The sequence below is a fragment of the Homo sapiens genome, chromosome 20 (genome assembly GCF_000001405.40).
Source record: "Homo sapiens chromosome 20, GRCh38.p14 Primary Assembly".
Lineage (NCBI taxonomy): Eukaryota > Metazoa > Chordata > Mammalia > Primates > Hominidae > Homo > Homo sapiens.
This window is the reverse complement of record NC_000020.11, coordinates 13355699-13374507: the sequence shown is the minus strand read 5'-3', so window position 1 is coordinate 13374507 and position 18809 is coordinate 13355699. Positions and strand designations below refer to the sequence as shown.

The window sequence follows — 18809 nt, the reverse complement described above, 5'->3', positions numbered from 1 at the left end:
GCGCGGTGGCGGGCGCCTGTAGTCCCAGTTACTCGGGAGGCTGAGGCAGGAGAATGGTGTGAACCCCGGGAGGCAGAGCTTGCAGTGAGCTGAGATGGCACCACTGCACTCCAGCCTGGGCGAAAGAGCAAGACTCTGTCTCAAAAAAAAAAAAAAAATTACGAGACAGCAAAAGAAACAGGAACAGTGACTTGTTATTTCTCTCTGTTTCTCTCTCACACACACACGGATGCTCACACACACAAAATAGTCAACAGAAACTTCCTCAGAGAGGGACCAAATGTCAGATTTTATAAAGACTTTAAAGTAGCCATTATAAATATGCTCAAAGAATTTTTAAAAATGCTTAAAGAAGTACAGTATGAAGACAATATCTCATCAAATATAGAATATCAATAAAGAGATAGACATAAAAATAGAACCAAATGGTAATTCTGGTGTCAAGAAGTACAACTGAACTAAACAACTTTATTAAAGGGGCTCAACAGGAGATTTTTTACTGGCAGAATAAAGAATAAGCAAATTTGATAGACTGATAGGGATTATACCATCTGGAGAACAGTGAGAAAATAAAATGAAGAAAAAAGAGCCTTGAGAAACTGTGGAACACCCGTAAATAAACTGAAATATGCATAATGGAAGTACTAGAAGAAGAAAAGAAAGAGAAAGGAGAAGAAAAAGTATTTGAAGAAATAGCAGCTGAAAGCTCCCCAAATTTGCTGGAAAACACACTCAGGAAGCTCAATAAACTCAAGTAGGAAACAGAGAGATCCATTATTTTCTGTTTAACATATCATAGAAAAAATACTGAAATTCAAAGACAAGGAGAAAATTTTGAAAGCAGCAAGAGAAAAATGTCATTTATAAGGGAACCCCAATAAAATGAACAACTGACTTTTTATAAGAAATCATGGCTGTCAGAAGGCAATGGAGCAACACATTCAAAGTGCTGAAATAAACAACAACAATCAACCAAGAATCTTATATCTTAAAAGACTGTCTTTCAAAAATGAAGAAAAAAATCAAGACATATCCAGAAAAAAAAAAAAAACTGAAAGAATTTGCTGCTATCAGACCTGCCTTATCATAAATACTAAAGGAAATTTTTAGGCTGAAAGCAAGTAAACCCAGATGGAAATTGAGTCCATAGAGAAAAAACAAAGAGCACTGATAATTGCAATTATGAAAGACAGTATATATATTTTTCTTTCTTGTCTTAATTAATTTTATAAATCAAGTGTATAAAACACTACATGTATCATTGTATTGTTGGGGCTATAATAGATGGAAATGCAATGTACTTGACAACAACCACTTAAAGGAGATGGGTGGAGGCAGAGTTGTACTGGAGTGAGGAAATGATACTAGATGATAACTTGAACACATGGGAACAAATAAAGAGAACTAGAAATGATAAATAAGAAAGCACATAGAACAAATGCTACAAATAAATACCTACTCTTCTTTGTTATCTCTCTTTAATAGACAAAAATTACATTAAGTACTCATTATAATGATGTATTGTTAGGTTTATGGCATCTATAGATGTAATATGTGTGACAATGATAACACAGAAAGGAAGAATGGGTAATAGAGCTATACAGGAGGAACATTTCTGTTTCTTGATGGAATTAAGTTAGTATAAATCTGAAGTAAATTCTGATGAATTCTGATGTATATGGTAAGCCCTAGAGCAACCACTGAGAGAAAACAAACTAAATAAGTTATAAAAAACCATTAAATAAATTAAAATGTTACACTAGAGATACTGACAATGCAAAATAAAGCAGTAAAATAGGAATAGAGGAACACAATAGACACATGAGACATATAGAAAACAATTAAATGGCAATATAAATCTAACTATATCAATAATAACATTAGATGTTGTATTAGTGTTCTCCAGAAAAAAAGCAGTAGCATATGCATACATACATATATATGTATATATATAAAATTACATATATGTGTATACATATATAACATGATATAGTTTTATAAAATAAGTTTTACATATATATATAAAATAAGGATTTGGCTCAAATGAATATAAAACCTAGCAAATAAAAATCTGTAGTGTGAGCCAGCAGACTTGAGACTCAGGAGAGCCCAGGATACGGTTATAGTCTGAAGATCAGCAGACAGAGACCCAGGAAAGCCGATAGTGCCAATGATGTCTGAAGGTGATCTGCTGGAGAATTCCCTCTTGCTTAGGGAGGCCAGTCTTTTTATTCATTCAAGCTGTCAATTCATTGAACGAGGCACCCACAGAATAGGGCAATCTGCTTTACTCAGTGTTCACTGATTTAAATACTAATTTCATGTTAAAACACCCTCCAAGTTGACACATAAAATTAATCATCACAGATGTGAGTGGATTAAGTAATCCAGTCAAAAGCTGAGAGGGTATCAGACGAGACTGAAAAACAAGATGCAATTATATGCTCTCTACAGAAGTTATACTTTATATTCAAATATATAAGTTAGTTGAATGTAAAAAGGTGGAAGAAGATGTATCATGCAAACAGTAATCACATGGAAGTTGTAATGGCTAAACAAATATCAGACAAAATAGATTTTAAAACAAAATATATTACTAGAGATAAAAAGGGCATACAATGTAATGATGAGAGGATCAATTCATTAGGAATTTATAAATATTATAAACATATATGCACCTAACAGCAGAATCCCAAAATACATGACTGACATGATCGAGGGGAAAAACAGACAATTCAACATTAATATTCAGATACTTAAATATTCCACTTTAAATATTGGATAGAATAATGAGGCATAAGATCAACAAGGAAATACAAGACTTGAACAACAGTATACACAAAGCAGACCTAATAGACATCAATAGAACACTGTACCCAATAACAGAATAAACATTCTTCTCAAGTGCACAAGGAACATTCACCAGAATAGACTGTATGTCAGGCTATACAACAAGCCTTAATAAATTTAAAAGGATTGAAATCATACAATATACGTCCTCTGATCACAAGAGAATAAAATTAAAAGTAACAGAAAGATTTGGGAAATTCACGAACATGTGTAAATTTAACAGCGCACTACTAAATAACCAACAGGTCTAAGATAAAAGCAGAGGAAAATAAGAAAATATTTTGAGATGAATGAAAACAAAGACACAACATACCAAAACTTAGGGGATGCGGTGAAAGCAGTGCTCACAGGGAAGTTTAAATGCCTACGCTAAAAAAGAAGAAAGATCCCATATCAACAACCAAACATTCTACCTTAAGACAATGGAGAAAGAAGAGCAAACGAAGCTCAAAGCAAGTAGAAAGAGGAAATAATAAGGATTAGAGAGGGAATTAATGAAATAACGAATTGAAAAACAATAGAGAAAATGAATCCAAAAGTTGGTTTGTCAAAAAGATCAATAATACTGACAAACTGTTAGCTAGAACGGCCAAGAAAAAAGAGAGAAGACTCAAATGCCTAAAATCAGAAATAGAAGAGGGGATGATACTGCTTGACCTTACAGAAATGAAAAGAATATAAAGGAAATGGCATGGATAACTGTATACCAACTAATCAGACAACTTAGATGAAATTGACAAATTCTTACAGAAAACAGCAACTACCAAAACGGACTTAAAAAGAAATAGAAAATCTAAATAGACCTATAACAAGTACTGATATTAAAGTAGTAATCAAAAAATCTCCCAGGAAGAAAGCCTAGTACTAGATGGTTACACTGGTGAATTCTGTCCTAATCTCCTCTTCTTATAAGGACATCAGTCGTAATGGATTAGGGTCCACTCTAATGACCTCATTTTACCTTAATTACTTTTTTTGTAAAGGCTGTGTCTTCAAATAAAGTCACATTCTGAGGCCCCGGGGCTTAGGACATCAACATGGATTTTGGGGGAACATAATTTAGCTCATAATACATTATAAATGTCATTTTAAAATGTTTGTTTTAATGAGAAACCTTTATAAAAGAAAAAATTTTCAGTTTCCTTAGTATTAACATAAATTATTTTAAAATAATGCCACTTCAAAATGTACAAACATAGAAAGGTATAAGCTTTTTATGTATATAGCTGTTGTACAATTATACATCTAAGTAGATTTCCAAGTGAATATAAGATTCCAGACCAATAAAGTTCATGTTAATAATGATATAATAAATTACGTTACATTATGTTTTGTTTTTATTGGTTTACCTTAAATTATTATATAATTTAATTTGGGTTATTGTGTTTTCAACTCTATAATTTCCATGTGTTTTTTCTTTGTATCTTATATTTCTTTGCTGAGATTTAATATATTCCATTTGTTTCAAGCATGTTCAAACTTGCTTGTTGAAGAATTTTTATAATGGCTGCTTTAAAATCCTTGTCAAATAATTCTCTTATCTTTGTGTTGACATCTGTTGATTGTCTTTTGTCATTCATATTGCAATCCTCCTGGTTCTCAGTATGAGTAGTATTTGATGGGATAGATGAGGCAGAATAAAAACAGAACTCACCACCGTACTGTTCCTCAGGTCCCAGGGTCGCTAGTTAGTCCACCTTCTTTTCTCCACCTTTCCAACTCTACTCATATTTGTTTTATATATAATGCCCAGTGTTTTAGCTACACTTAATGGAGAGAATAGGGAAAAGTACCTGCATTTCATCTTTCCAGAAGCAGAAGTACTGCTTTTATTATAGAAGCATTTATTTGGAAACAATATTTCATTAGTTGACTTGATCCTGTTGATTTTAAACTTGATAGCCATCATCTGAGTTGTCAACATTATGATTTGCATTGCACTTCCTTTTGGACAATACATTTGTTTTAAACTACCTATCCATTATTTATTCTCAGCCAATCCACTTAATAAACACCCTGGGAAATTGCGACACAGCCATTTCATGAAAAATTACTGAGAGTTGACTACTACATTTATTGCCAACCAAGTTTGATATATACGTAGATGTGACCCATGCACCATCTCTGCTCAGAACATGAACATACAGATAAGCCCACCTAGGCTTTTAAAATGTTCAACATACATTTAAACATACATTATTTATTTATTTTTGAGACAGGGTCTTGCTCTGTTGTATGGGCTGGAGTGCAATGATGCAATCTTGGCTCACTGCAACCTCCACCTCCTGGGTTCAAGTGATTCTTCTGCCTCAGCCTCCTGAGTAGCTGGAATTATAGGCATGTGCCACCACGCCCAGCTAATTTTTGTATTTTTGATAGAGACGAGGTTCCACCATGTTGGCCAGGCTGGTCTCGAACTCCTGACCTCAAGTGATCCACCTGCCTCAGCCTCCCAAAGTGCTGGGATTACAGGCTTGAGCCATTGCACCTAGCCCTTAAATATACATTATTGGTCATCTCTCAATTTTTCCATTTTTTTCTTTTCCAGCTACCTGAAATCTTCATTTGGCATCACCATTACTTCAACCTCAAATACAAATGCAGAAAATGAAATTGCCTACTATGACTAGTCACAAGGTCACCCTGAATATATCTGTATTAATTTATTTTAGTTTGTCATCAAAATGAAAATTTTAAAAATTGTAGTATTGTCATTGAATTCATGGTTTTGGAGGCTACATCCATAGACCCACAGGAGCCACAAACTCCAGTGTGAGAAACTCAAGTCTAGAGTATTTCAGGTCCAGCTGATTCATGAGAAGAGTTACTAATGCATTGCAAGCCATCCTGCAGGTGGCTGGTGTGTATTAGGGTACAGGGGTTGGGGAAGGGGACAGGCAGGCACCACCTAACCAGCAGAGTAATGACAAAAATGGGTTTATCTTTTCATGTCTGCATCATTCACTGACAGTTCCCTTCCATATCCCCTGGTCCCTACTGTTTCCAGTGTGGATCAGCTAATTTGCAACCACCACTATCTGCATCTGTGCCTACCTCAGGGTTCGCTCCAAAATGCAGAAGACTGCTCTGCCTGTGGCAGGACAGAAGTGACATTCCCTGGAGCAGCCCTCAACTCATGGCTGCCAGGAGTTAGTGTATAAATTGCCCCAAAGCTCTCTATAAAGTGGTTTTATTTTTGATGTCTCATTTGACCTATACAACAATTCTGGAAGGAAGAAAGTTATATTAAACAAGGCCAACAGTGGAGTGTAATCCCTGTATTCTTTTTTGTTCTCTCATCTATCCCAAGAATACTGCTCAGAAAATTATAGATGCTCAATAAATAATTGATGAATAAAGGAAGAAACTGATGCTTCTGTGAGTAATTTAATTAAATTGCCTATGATAACACCAGGACTTGAAGGCTGATCTTTTTACTCCAAGCACAGTGCTCTCTACTATACACCTGGGAGTTTCTGTTCTTAATCCTGTGGTCTCAAACCATGGTTTAGGAAGAAACTTAAAGATGATTTAAATATGCCAATATAATAGGCAGCTCTACACCATGGGAATGTCAATGGTTTCAGAGCCTATGGAATCAAAATATTTGTGAAAATATTAAAGATATTTATGGCACAAATTGTCAAGTCTGCTTGCTTATGTATTGCAGAACTTTGGGGGTCAATCAGTGGCCATTTGGAGATGCAGGACCCCATAAAATAGAAGCAACCAGTTTTTCATAGCTCCGGGGTAGCTGGAACATATCCTGGCCCAGCCTTGTTTTTAAGTTTTTCATTTTTTTCCCATCATCTGTGGTGTGAACAGCTAAAAGTCAATTTACTTGGAGGAATCTTCCTTCAGCATTCTAACTTGGGCTTTAAAAAAATCAGTTCATACCTTCATTAAGGATTCTAATGAGTGCTCTAATAAATAGTCACTTGTAGATAAAACCATATTTAGCAATATGAACAAATAAATAATACTCATTGCAGTTAGCTATTAGATTAGATCTAACTCATTCATCAATTTTTACATAAGCCATGCATCTTTCCCCAAATGGATGGTTATTCTGTGAAGCCATTTTGATGCTGCAGCACTGCTTTTCCTAAATTCCTTAAAGTCATCAGGCACATTAAAGGATATCCAATTTCATTGGTCTAAGCTGAGTGATCGCAATTCATCAAGGCATGAAAAGTCTGTCCAGTCTTGTGGAATATCATTAAATGGTTCAAGGACATTTCTAATCTTAATGATGGCCAAGGGGGAGCAACTATTATGATGATGAATGGGAATGAATATCTGGAAAAAGTTCAAGGCATGTTATACTTACAAAGACTAATACATTTTGTTTATCTAAATCATCCAACTGATTAAAGAAACACACAAAGCCCAAGACAGTTAAAAGCAGAGAACCAAACAGGGTTTGACCTACCCTGGTGTATTTACCGCTAACCATGTCATGCGTGTAAAATCTATTACTCTACCAGGATGCTGTGTATATAAAATCGGGAGGGTCTTTTGAGGCTGATGTTGAGTAATATAGGCTGTCCAGTTTATTGCCTAGCTAAATATTTATATAAAATGAGTTCATTGATGATGGGGAAGCCTCCATAAAAGGAGCCTTTCAATGTTACTAAATGATTAGCTACAATGCCCAAGGCTTAGCAAGAGCTGAATGGTGGTAGCATTTGGTACTTCCACTCCTAAAACCAATTACTGAGCTGCTCAAAGTTTTTAATTCCTGACCTGAGTTAGTGTGTGTGTGAGAGAGAGTGTGTGTGTGTGTGTGTAGTCAAATCAGGCAAAACCCTCTTGGTACCAAGAGAAGCGTAGACTCTGCAAGGAAAGGGGAAATGCTTTTTGGTATGCAACTATAAGAATGTTCTCTGGATCCCATCTTTTGTCGGAGAGAGTGTATCTATTAAATGCTCATTTTCTTAGTACAGGGAAGTCAATGCTGGGTGAAATGAAGAAGACCTGTGTCACATTATGCAGGGACTTGTGTTTGGCTGACCTTTCCCTGGGCAGGAGAAAGAAAAATCAACCACATAGGCGGCTAGGAAGATGTTGGGCTATGGTCCAAAGACTTAATCACAATAAATATCTTTTCAGTAGGTCTGGGTGTGGTGTGTTTTGGGGCTGAAATAGTGCAAACACTGCTTACAGGATTGTTTATAGATAAAAGGTAGAAATTAGAAATAAGTAGGAAGCAGTAGAAGGTTTAGAATTATAGGCTTTCTTCACTTGGGTTCTTAGACACTTCATTCTTCTGGGTTTCCTCATCCCTCCCTGGTTTCTCCTTCTCAGTATCCTTTGATGGTTTCTGTTCTCTTCCTGACCTCTGAACATTGGTGGTCTCAGGGCTTGGTTCTCAGCCCTCTTTTCTTCACAGATGATCTTATCAAATCTTACAGCTTTATCAAATATCACGCCTCCCAAATGTCCAGCCTGAACTGCATCCAAACTCCAGATTACCTACTTGACATCTCTACTGTGACACCTAATAAAGCATTTCCAAATATGTCCAAAACATATTCCAAGTCTTCTATTTCCCTTCTGTCCACAAACTGTTCTCTCCCCAGAATTCATCATTTCAGCTGATGTTGTTCTCGCTTGCCCAGTTGCTCAGGTAAAAAAATCTAAATGTTGTCTTTGAATCCCGTCTTTTCCTCATCTCTGCAAACATATCCTGAATCTCTGTCTTCCTCAGTATCCCCTCCACTGCCATTTCAGTTCAAGCTATCATCTTGTGTTGTCTCATCTTCTGCCTTCTAACTAGACTCCCTGCCTCCATTCCTTTCCTATCCCCAGGCCGTTCTCCTCCCCACAGCCAGACTTCGTAAGACACATAAATCATCACATCTCTTCCCTACTTGTTTCCAGTGGTTTTCCATTCAGTCGAAATAAACCCAAAACTTCTTACCATACCCTACAAGATCTTCCATGGCCCGGGGCCCTGTGCCTCTTCAAACCCACCTCTCCCCTCTCTTTTTTGTCAGCTCTCCCCTCGCCACTGCGGCCTTTCCTAGGCCCCCTCAACACACCAAGTTTGTTCCTGCATTGGAGTTTTCACACCTGTCACTCCCTGTGACTGTCCTGATGCTCTCCTTTTCTTTCAATCATTCAGGCCTATGCTCAACTATCACCACCTCAGACAGGCCTTTGATGACACATCAAGCTGAAATATACTCAGTGTACATTCCAGTTACTCTCTATTTTGTTATCCTGTTTTACTTTTTATTATGGCACTCACAACTCTCTCAAATTATTATCTTTTTTTGGTGCTCATTGTCCATCTTTTACATTAGAGTATATGCTCCGTGAATCTAGAGACCAAACCTGTCTCATTCATTGCTCAATTCCTAATGTCTAGGATAATTCCTGGCACAGAATAGGCAATCAACAAATATTTATCAAATGAATAAAGAACAAATAGATAAGTATAAAAGATCCAAGTTGAATATGAAAAGTTAAGAAAATAAGAAACTTGAATTTGAAATCACGTGTAGGTTGTTGGCCAGATAGAGCCAATGGAAGACTTTATAGCCAAACATTATATGAAAATAAGAGACAAAGATATTCTTTGGTCCAATTGAATTTTCCATCATCAATTATATTTATTCAAGTTAAATTGATCTGTTTGTTCTGAAAATTATCAGTCAAAATCCATCTTTTCATTTGCTGACTCATAATATTTAGGCATGCAACCATTTCAACTTGGCTCAGAAAAAAAAAAATAGTTCAATGGAGCATATTCGTGGCTGTAGCCAGAGTGGCAAACAGGAGAAAGTTCTAGTGCACATGCACAGAAACCTGCTGTGGGGCCAAGACATGAGGAATACACTTACTTAGAAAGGGGCATTCTAACTTGGCCTTGGGAAATGCAGTAGGTACAGCAATCTAACGAACAGCAAACTACCCCAGGTCACTTCAAGTTCTCTTTTCTTTCAATGGACACAGGTGTCTATTGACCAAGTTGATACCAAGTTGGGGAGATACCAAGTTGACCCATCTCGGGGGTCAGATATGTAGACTTAGCTTCAGTCCAGCTATCTTAGGCCTACGGGCAGGCACACAGGGCAGGCTGCTATATATCAGGTGGACCTTGACTATCTGTCTATCTTTGGTCACTATGGGGACAAAAGATGTGGGGAGAACTGACAAGACCTAATCAGCCTCTGCCACTCCTGCCATGGCCATGGGGCCATTAATCTCTGACTCTCCATACCCTTCCTTCCCTAAGGAATTACCTCCCCTTCCTGACCGCAATTCACTGCTCAGCTCAGGACAGTTGAGATGACATGGTCCTCTCTTCCACAGGCTCCCACACCAGCACATTCATACTTCTTACTTCATTTCTCATCATCAAACATTTTATAATGCAAAATGGGAATTCTTTATTTAAATAAAGGTAAAAACTTTTATTTCTTATTATTAGAACTCCAAAAGCAGGACATCCATATACCAGAAAAATGTTAATCTGCAGACAAGGAAGAAAATAAAATTCCTTTACAACCCCATCACTGACAAATAATCACAACAGATAACATTTAAAATGTTTGTTTTTTTTTTAAATCCCTCTTTTTTAGTGCATGCATATTTGGAAGAAAAAATATCCCAAACCTTATCTGGGATTAAACCTTTTTTGTGAGTTATTATATACAAATCTCCTCATAGGAAGAAATTGGCATTCTTGATAAATTGCGTAAGTAGTTTTCTGATGGATTCTGATGGGCTGGAGACATTTCCATCACCCCCAAAATTCCTTAATGCTCATTTCTGAGGAAAAAACAAAACTGTTTCTTTCCACTCACACACACTACTCAATGCAACACTTCTGACATCAGATATGTGTGGGTTCCCCCTCCCTGCACTGCCACTAACAAGCAATTCTGCATTGGACATTAACTAGGTGTCCTGTAATTTAACTCAATTCTCACACTATGACCTAGAGCTAGATCAGATCCCACAGGTTGAAGGCTCAGTTCCACAAACCCTTCCCCAACCCTGACTTCTGATGCTAACTGAAAATTGCAAATACAGTAGTAGGTTGTCACTTAGACTTCTGACCAATTGGCCAGAAAACATTGGGGGTTTTCATGACTCCTTCTTTTGTTTTGATTAATTTGCTAGAGTCACAGAACTCAGGAAAGCAATTTACTTATGTTTATGGGTTCATTAATAAAGGGTATAACAAAAACTGCAGATGAACAGCTATATACAGGGCAAAGATTTCAGAGCACAGGAGCTTCTGTCCCTGTGGAGTTAGGGTGCACCACACTCCTAGCATATGAATAAATTGACCCCACTGGAAGCTTTCTGAACCCCATAGTTTGGGGAATTTTATGGTGACTTCATCATGTATGCATGATTGATTATTAAGTCCATTTCCAGCCTCTCTTTCTTCTCCAAAGAGTGTGGGTGGAGCTGAAAGTTCCAAGCTTGTAATCAAGATTTGGTCTTTCTGGTGACCACCCCCAATGTAGGAGCCCAACAAGAGTTGTCTCATTGGAACAAAAGATGCTTCTATCACCCAGGAAATTCTGAGAGATTTGGGAGCTCTGTGCCAGCTACTCCTATCACTCAGGTTCACAAAAATCTAAAGAGCAGTATGTTAGGATCTGGTGTCAAAGACCAAATATTAGAACAAAAGATTCCCCTAGATCACCCCAATCTACAAGGGTATTAGGGTCCCTGTCTCAGGAACCAGGACAGAGACCAAATATTAGAACAAAAGATTCTCTTAGCACCCTACCACTATCTCTCAGGAAGTTATAAAGGTTTTAGGAGCTCTGTGCAAGAAACAGGGGGAGAGACAAATATATATATATATATATATATATATATATTTCTTGCTATTTCACACCCTTTGCAGTCAATCTCCCTTTACTGCTAATTCTAGGCAACCACTGATGTTTTTGCTTTTTCTAGAATTTCATATAAACAGAATCATGCAGTATGTATTCTTTCATGCGCGTCCATGTGAAGAGACCACCAAACAGGCTTTGTGTGAGCAACATGGCTGTTTATTTCACCTGGGTGCAGGCAGGCTGAGTCCGAAAAGAGAGTCAGCAAAGGGAGATAAGGGTGGGGCTGTTTTATAGGATTTGGGTAGGTAAAGGAAAATTACAGTCAAAGGGGATTTGTTCTCAGGTGGGCAGGAGTGGGGGTCTCAAGGTGCTCAGTGGGGGAGCTTTTTGAGCCAGGATGAGCCAGGAAAAGGACTTTCACAAGGTAATGTCATCAGTTAAGGCAAGGACCGGCCATTTGCACTTCTTTTGTTGTGGAATTTCATCAGTTAAGATGGGGCAGGGCATATTCACTCCTTTTGTGATTCTTCAGTTACTTCAGGCCATCTGGGCATATACGTGCAAGTCACAGGGGATGCGATGGCTTGGCTTGGGCTCAGAGGCCTGACATTCCTGCCTTCTTATATTAATAAGAAAAATAAAACAAAATAGTGTTGAAGTGTTGGGGCGGCGAAAATTTTTGGGGGGTGGTGCGGAGAGAGAATGGGCGATGTTTCTCAGGGCTGCTTCAAGCGGGATTAGGGGCGGCGTGGGAACCTAGAGTGGGAGAGATTAAGCTGAAGGGAGGTCTTGTGGCAAGGGGTGATATTGTGGGGATGTTAGAAGAAACATTTGTGGTATAGAATGATTGGTGATGGCCTGGATACGGTTTTGGATGAATTGAGAAACTAAATGGAAAAACAGAAGGAGAAAAACAGGTGTAAAAGGTCTAAGAACTGGGATGACTCAGGATATCTGATTAGAGAATGCCTAAGGAGATTCAGCATAGTCCTGCCAGCAAAGATTATTTATTTACTTCAAGAGTTAAGAGTGGCAGTTTGGGGATAGCACCAGGAGATATCAGCTGTGATGGCTTGGAAAAACAGTGTAAACTGGCAGTGTAAACAAGAGCAGGGCATGTATGGGTAGTTGAGAAAGGTGAATAGGAGTATGACTAGACAGAAGATAGTAGGGATGACAAGTTTTTTTGGGGGGCACAGTCCAAGTTGGTCTGGTGTCTGGAATGAGACTGGGGCCTAATAAAAAGGCGTCTATACAGGAGCTTAAATGGGCTGTACCCTGAGGACAGGCCTGAATTCTGAGAAGGGAAAGTGGTAAAAGTATTGTCCAGTCCTTTTGAAGTTGGTGGCTGAGCTTGGTGAGGTGTGTTTTTAAAAGACCTTTAGTCCATTCTACTTTTCTTGAAGATGGAGGACCGTAAGGGATATAAAGGTTTCACTGAAAACTAAGAGCCTGAAAAACTGCTCGGCTGATTTGACTAATAAAGGCTTATGTGTTATCAGACTGTATTGAGGTGGGAGGGCTAAACTGAGGAATTATGTCTAACAGAACGGAAGAAATGACTGCGGTGGCCTTCTCAGACCCTATAGGGAAGGCCTGTACCTATCCAGTGAAAAGCGTCTACCTAGACTAAGAGGTATTTTAGTTATCTGACTCAGGGCATGTTGAGTAAAGCTAATTTGCCAGTCCTGGGTGGGGCAAATCCTCGAGCTTGATGTGTAGGGAAGGGAGGGGGCCTGAATAATCCCTGAGGAGTAGTAGAATAGCAGATGGAACACTGAGAAGTTATTTCCTTGAGGATAGATTTCCACGATGGAAAGGAAATGAGAGGTTCTAAGAGGCGGGCTAGTGGCTTGTACTATAGCATAACCTGCCTTTGCTGGTGTGTGGCGATTAGGCCTGGTGGAACCGCCATCAATAAATCAAGCGTGATCTGGGTGAGGAACAGGAAAGAAGGAAATTTGGGGAAATGTGAATGTCAGGTGGATCAGAGAGATACAGTCATGGGGGTCAGGTGTGGTATCAGGAATAATGTGGGAGGCCGGATTGAAGTCTGGGCCAGGAACAGTGGTAGTTGTGGGAGACTCAACAAGGAGTGAGTACAGCTGAAGGAGCTGGGAAGCAGAAAGTATATGCGTCAGGTATGAGGAAGAAAATAGATTTTGGAAGTTATGAGAACTTTAGAGAGTGAGTTGAGCACAGTTTGTGATTTTGAGGGCCTCTGAAAGTATTAAAGCAGCGGCAGCTGCTGCACGCAGACATGAGGGCTAGGCTTAAACAGTAAGGTCAAGTTGTTTGGACAGAAAGGCTACAGGGTGTGGTCCTGGCTCTTGTGTAAGAATTCTGACCGCGCTAACCATGCCTAGGAAGGAAAGGAGTTGTTGTTTTGTAGAAGGTGCTTGGGTTTGAGAGATCAGTTGGACACGATTGGCAGGGAGAGCACATGTATTTTTATGAGAATTATGCCGAGATAGGTAACAGATGAGGAAGAAATTTGGGCTTGATTGAAGTAATGGGGGCTGTCTGTGAAGCTTTGCGGCAGTACAGCCTAGGTAATTTGCTGAGCTTGATGGGTGTCAGGGTCAGTCCAAGTGAAAGCGAAGAGAGGCTGGGATTAAGGGTGCAAAGGAATAGTAAAGAAAGCATGTTTGAGATCTAGAACAGAATAATGGGTTGTAGAGGCAGGTATTGAGGATAGGAGAGTATATGGGTTTGGCACCACGGGGTGGATAGGCAAAACAATTTGGTCGATAAGGCGCAGATCCTGAACTAAGTTGTAAGGCTTGTCTGGTTTTAGCACAGGTAAAATGGGGGAATTGTAAGGAGAGTTTATAGGCTTTAAAAGGCCGTGCTGTAGCAGGCGAGTGATAACAGGCAAGTGTGCTGCAGGATGGGATATTGGCATTGAGTGGGGTAAGGGTGATTAGGTTTTAATGAGATGGTAAGGGGTGCATGATCGGCCGCCAAGGAGGGAGTAGAGGTATCTTATACTTGTGGGTTAAGGTGGGGGATAGAAGAGGAGGATGCAAAGGAGGCTTTGGATTGGGAAGAAGGGCGGCAATGAGATATAGCTGTAGTCCAGGAATAGTCAGGGAAGCAGATAATTTAGTTAAAGTGTCTCGGCCTAATAAGGGAACTGGGCAGGTGGGGATAACTAAAAAGGAGTGCTTAAAAGAGTATTGTCTAAGTTGGCACCAGAGTTGGGGAGTTTTAAGAGGTTTAGAAGCCTGGCCGTCAATACCCACAACAGTTATGGAGGCAAGGGAAACAGGTCCTTGAAAAGAAGGTAATGTGGAGTGTGTAGCCTCCGTATTGATTAAGAAGGGGACGGGCTTACCTTCCACTGTGAGAGTTACCCGAAGCTCGGCATCCGTGATGGTCTAGGGGGCTTCTGAGGCCATCGGGCAGTGTCAGTCTTCAGCTGCTAAGCCGAGAAGATCTGGGAAGGAGTCAGAGAGCCTTGGGCCAGAGTTCCAGGGGCTCTGGGAGTGGCTGCCAGGTGAGTTGAACAGTCCGATTTTCAGTGGGGTCCCACACAGATGGGATGCGGCTTAGGAGGAATCCTGGCCTGCGGGCATTCCTTGGCCCAGTGGCCAGATTTCCGGCACGTGTAGCAAGCTCCTGTGGGAGGAGGTTCTGGAGGAATGCCTGGCCACTGCGGTTCAGGTGTTTGGAAGTTCTTGTGTGCCGGAGATGTGGCTGGGGCGCAGAGATAAGAGGTTGGGGCATGGAAATAAGCGATTGGGGTGCAGAGATAAGAGGTTGGGGTGTGGAAATAAGCGATTGGGGGGTTCTTGCCCCCTAGGAAAGCGGGACTTGCCGCTAAGGGTGAAGGAGAAGGGGTTGAGGGGTACTTGACCCTGCCCCAGGAAAGCAGAGAAGGGGTAGAGACAAGGAGAGAAGGGGTTGAGGGGTACTTGCCCCTCTCCCAGAAAAGCAGAGAAGGGGTAGAGACAAGGAGAGAAGGGGTTGGGGTACTTGCCCCTTCCCCAGAAAAGCGGGACTTGCCGCTAAGGGTGAAGGACCAAGGCAGGCGTCCCTGCGTGGTCTGACACCCTTGAAACGTGGGTGAATGATCAGAGAGGCGTCCCTGCAGTGAGTAAGCGTCCCTGTGTGGTCTGACACCTTTGAAACATGGATGAATAATCAGGCATCCCTGCCATGATTAAACACCAAGGGAAGGCTGCCTTCCCAGTCCGTGACTGGCGCCGAAGTTTTGTGTCCACGGATAAAACGTGTGTCCTTTGTCTCTCCCAGAAAATGAAAGGAATTGAAATTAAGAGAAGGGAGAGATTGAAGAGTGGAAAGGAGAAAGTGGTTGAGGGACAGTGAGAGAGGTTGGAGAAGAGAGTAAGAAGAGGCCGCCTACCTGATTTAAAATTGGTGAGATGTTCCTTGGGCTGGTCGGTCTGAGGACCTGAGGTCATAGGTGGATCTTTCTCACGGAGCAAAGAGCAGGAGGACGGGGGATTGATCTCCCAAGGGAGGTCCCCCCATCCAAGTCACGGCACCAAATTTCATGCGCGTCCGTGTGAAGAGACCACCAAACAGGCTTTGTGTGAGCAACATGGCTGTTTATTTCACCTGGGTGCAGGCGGGCTGAGTCCGAAAAGAAAGTCAGCGAAGGGAGATAAGGGTGGGGCCGTTTTATAGGATTTGGGTAGGTAAAGGAAAATTACAGTCAAAGGGGGTTTGTTCTCTGGCGGGCAGGAGTGAGGGTCGCAAGGTGCTCAGTGGGGGTGCTTTTTGAGCCAGGATGAGCCAGGCAAAGGACTTTCACAAGGTAATGTCATCAGTTAAGGCAAGGACCGGCCATTTACACTTCTTTTGTGGGGGAATTTCATCAGTTAAGGTGCGGCAGGGCCTATTCACTTCTTTTGTGATTCTTCAGTTACTTCAGGCCATCTGGGCATATACGTGCAAGTCACAGGGGATGCGATGGCTTGGCTTGGGCTCAGAGGCCTGACATATTCATTCTAGTCTGACTTTTTTCTTGTGTTTGTGAGATGCATCCATGTTGTTGCATGTAGTAGTAGATCATTAATTTTCTTTGCTGTATAGTATTGCATTGAATGTTAATCCATTCTACTGTTGAGCACTGGGTTGTTTTCAGATTGGGGCTATTAAGATTAGCAGGGCTGTAGATATTCATGTGTAAGTCTTTGCGTGGGTATATATTTTCATTTCTCTTGGGTAAATACCTAGGAATGAAAATTCTGGGCTATATGGTATTTTACGTGTATATAAGACTATAAGCAATCTCCAGACTTTTTTGCAGAGTAATTGATCTTCCATTTTTATCACGTCCCCTTCTTATCAGGGGTTTAAAGAATCTCAGAGAAAAGGGAATTTAACAGTGAGAAAACATGTATTTGTTGTCTTTTCTCTTCAGTTATTTGAAGCACATTTATCTTTCTTTTTCATTGTTGTGAAAAACAAGTAGCCAAAAGCAACAAAATAGTTATCTGATCCTGAAGATAAAGGAATTGAAGAGCATGATAATGAATTCGTAGCCTAATTGGGGTGGGTGGGGGGTTGTTCCTTTGGGTTGGAACAGGTCTTCCTTCTTCCTTTTCAGAGACTTATCTGAAGATTACTAATTCTTCCTATCTCAGCCCCAATGGTCTAATCCTTTGCAGATCTTTGTAAGCCTATTAAATGTTTTTCTGCCATCCCATACTCTTCCTTTATAGCATTTAGCACAATTTAGTATCATCTATATTTATATGATTTGTTGATTTGTGTCTTCCTTCCCTACTCCATGGAATGAGGAACCAAGCTTCTTATATCCCTTGGCTCACAGTAGCATTCAATAAACATTTGAATGAAAGAGTAAATAATTGAAAGAACTGGAAAAGGGGCTAACAGAGCAAGACTGCCAAGCTAACAGTTGTGACTCTACAAACAAGGGTGGAAATCTGCATGTGTTTGTCAACTGCCAACTCTACAAAAAGACCACAGAAATACCCCATTGATCAATTCAAGCTGGGTTTATTACTTACTGCCATGAGGGAGAGCACCACCTTGACAGACTCTTGGTGGTATTGTGGAAGGAAGAGGTCAAGGGCAGATATGGATAGAGTTTCAGATCTGGTTTTGAGTGGTTTAAGGCAGGCCTTTCAATGTGGGGATTTCATCTGGGCAAAGTTCATGATTTAATAGCTTGGGCCTGAAGGACCCAGAAAAGTTAAGTGTTATCTAGAGCATCTCATGCTTTGATAAGCAAGAAGGTCTGCTCCATGGAGCAATCTGTTGGCCTGAGAAAGGAGGCTGATTGGTAGCTCATTGTTTGAAAAAAATAGATTTTCTGGAAGCTCTTGGGGCCAACATTCAAGTTACTTACTGGGCAAGAATTTTCTGGAATAAACAGTAAAGTCATGTTGAGCTAGGCTTAGTTTTGATAGGTAAGTTATGAGGCTGGGCTGCAGGCAGCTCCTCAATTCCAAAACCCAGTTCCCTAAAACTGAGTATAGAAAGGTATATTACTTCCCTGACATTGCCATGCTGAATGAAGAGACTGTGCTTTACAACAATTGCTCCTATTGTTCATTGTGAAATCTGGGAAAACTGTAGACCTGACTGGGATAACAGCTGCTGCATTCCCAACTCTTGAATTTAAGCCATAAAACCTCTTATTATGTAAGACATTAACATCTCAATGGCACATCCTCAAATCAAGATATGGAATTGTGATGCTTCTCTCTTCTTGTCCTTTCTCTATTTTTTTGTTAAGAGTGCTTTACTAGACAAAACCTTAGCTCTCCTGCCAAATATCCAGTGGGAATAAAGAGTGAGATGAAATCCCAACAGCATTTTAGTGTAATAGCAGATGACTGTAATGAGCTGTCACCATTTAGGAAGCAACAGTGGTTGAGTTACAAGAAAGTTTGCACATGGTATCAACATAGCTATTTTTTGGCCAATATGAGGAGTCCTATGAAATCTCCATAGGACTCTTTAGAACTGGGGGATCTCCTTGACCAAGATAATACAGGACTAGGGGCTTGGGAGAGCAGAAAGAATTACACAGTGGCAGTTAAGTGCAGTTAAATTAAGTTGTCATTCCCCCACCATCAGATCCCTAGCTATATGTTGAGCCATTCACCTGGCTGAAATGAAAGACAGAGCCAGTCCATGGAGCACTCCAAA

The 18809-nt window shown here is 40.2% G+C and overlaps 1 protein-coding gene across 3 annotated transcripts in view, besides 4 other annotated features; it reads left to right on the top strand.

Annotated features, from left to right (window-relative positions):
- TASP1 (taspase 1) overlaps positions 1-18809 on the top strand; it is a 534161-nt gene that overhangs the window by 264425 nt on the left and 250927 nt on the right. The gene's annotated exons all lie outside the window — the stretch shown is intronic.
- Positions 11416-12250: an enhancer, noted in NCBI's record as "OCT4-NANOG-H3K27ac hESC enhancer chr20:13342905-13343739 (GRCh37/hg19 assembly coordinates)". NCBI's record gives its function as "activates a minimal SCP1, AML or CMV promoter by ChIP-STARR-seq in naive and primed H9 embryonic stem cells {active_cell/tissue: H9 hESC(naive and primed)}" and the evidence as "EXISTENCE:reporter gene assay evidence [ECO:0000049][PMID:30033119]".
- Positions 12251-13086: an enhancer, noted in NCBI's record as "OCT4-NANOG-H3K27ac hESC enhancer chr20:13342069-13342904 (GRCh37/hg19 assembly coordinates)". NCBI's record gives its function as "activates a minimal SCP1, AML or CMV promoter by ChIP-STARR-seq in primed H9 embryonic stem cells {active_cell/tissue: H9 hESC(primed)}" and the evidence as "EXISTENCE:reporter gene assay evidence [ECO:0000049][PMID:30033119]".
- Positions 16009-16930: an enhancer, noted in NCBI's record as "OCT4-NANOG-H3K27ac hESC enhancer chr20:13338225-13339146 (GRCh37/hg19 assembly coordinates)". NCBI's record gives its function as "activates a minimal SCP1, AML or CMV promoter by ChIP-STARR-seq in naive and primed H9 embryonic stem cells {active_cell/tissue: H9 hESC(naive and primed)}" and the evidence as "EXISTENCE:reporter gene assay evidence [ECO:0000049][PMID:30033119]".
- Positions 17527-18032: an enhancer, noted in NCBI's record as "NANOG-H3K27ac hESC enhancer chr20:13337123-13337628 (GRCh37/hg19 assembly coordinates)". NCBI's record gives its function as "activates a minimal SCP1, AML or CMV promoter by ChIP-STARR-seq in naive H9 embryonic stem cells {active_cell/tissue: H9 hESC(naive)}" and the evidence as "EXISTENCE:reporter gene assay evidence [ECO:0000049][PMID:30033119]".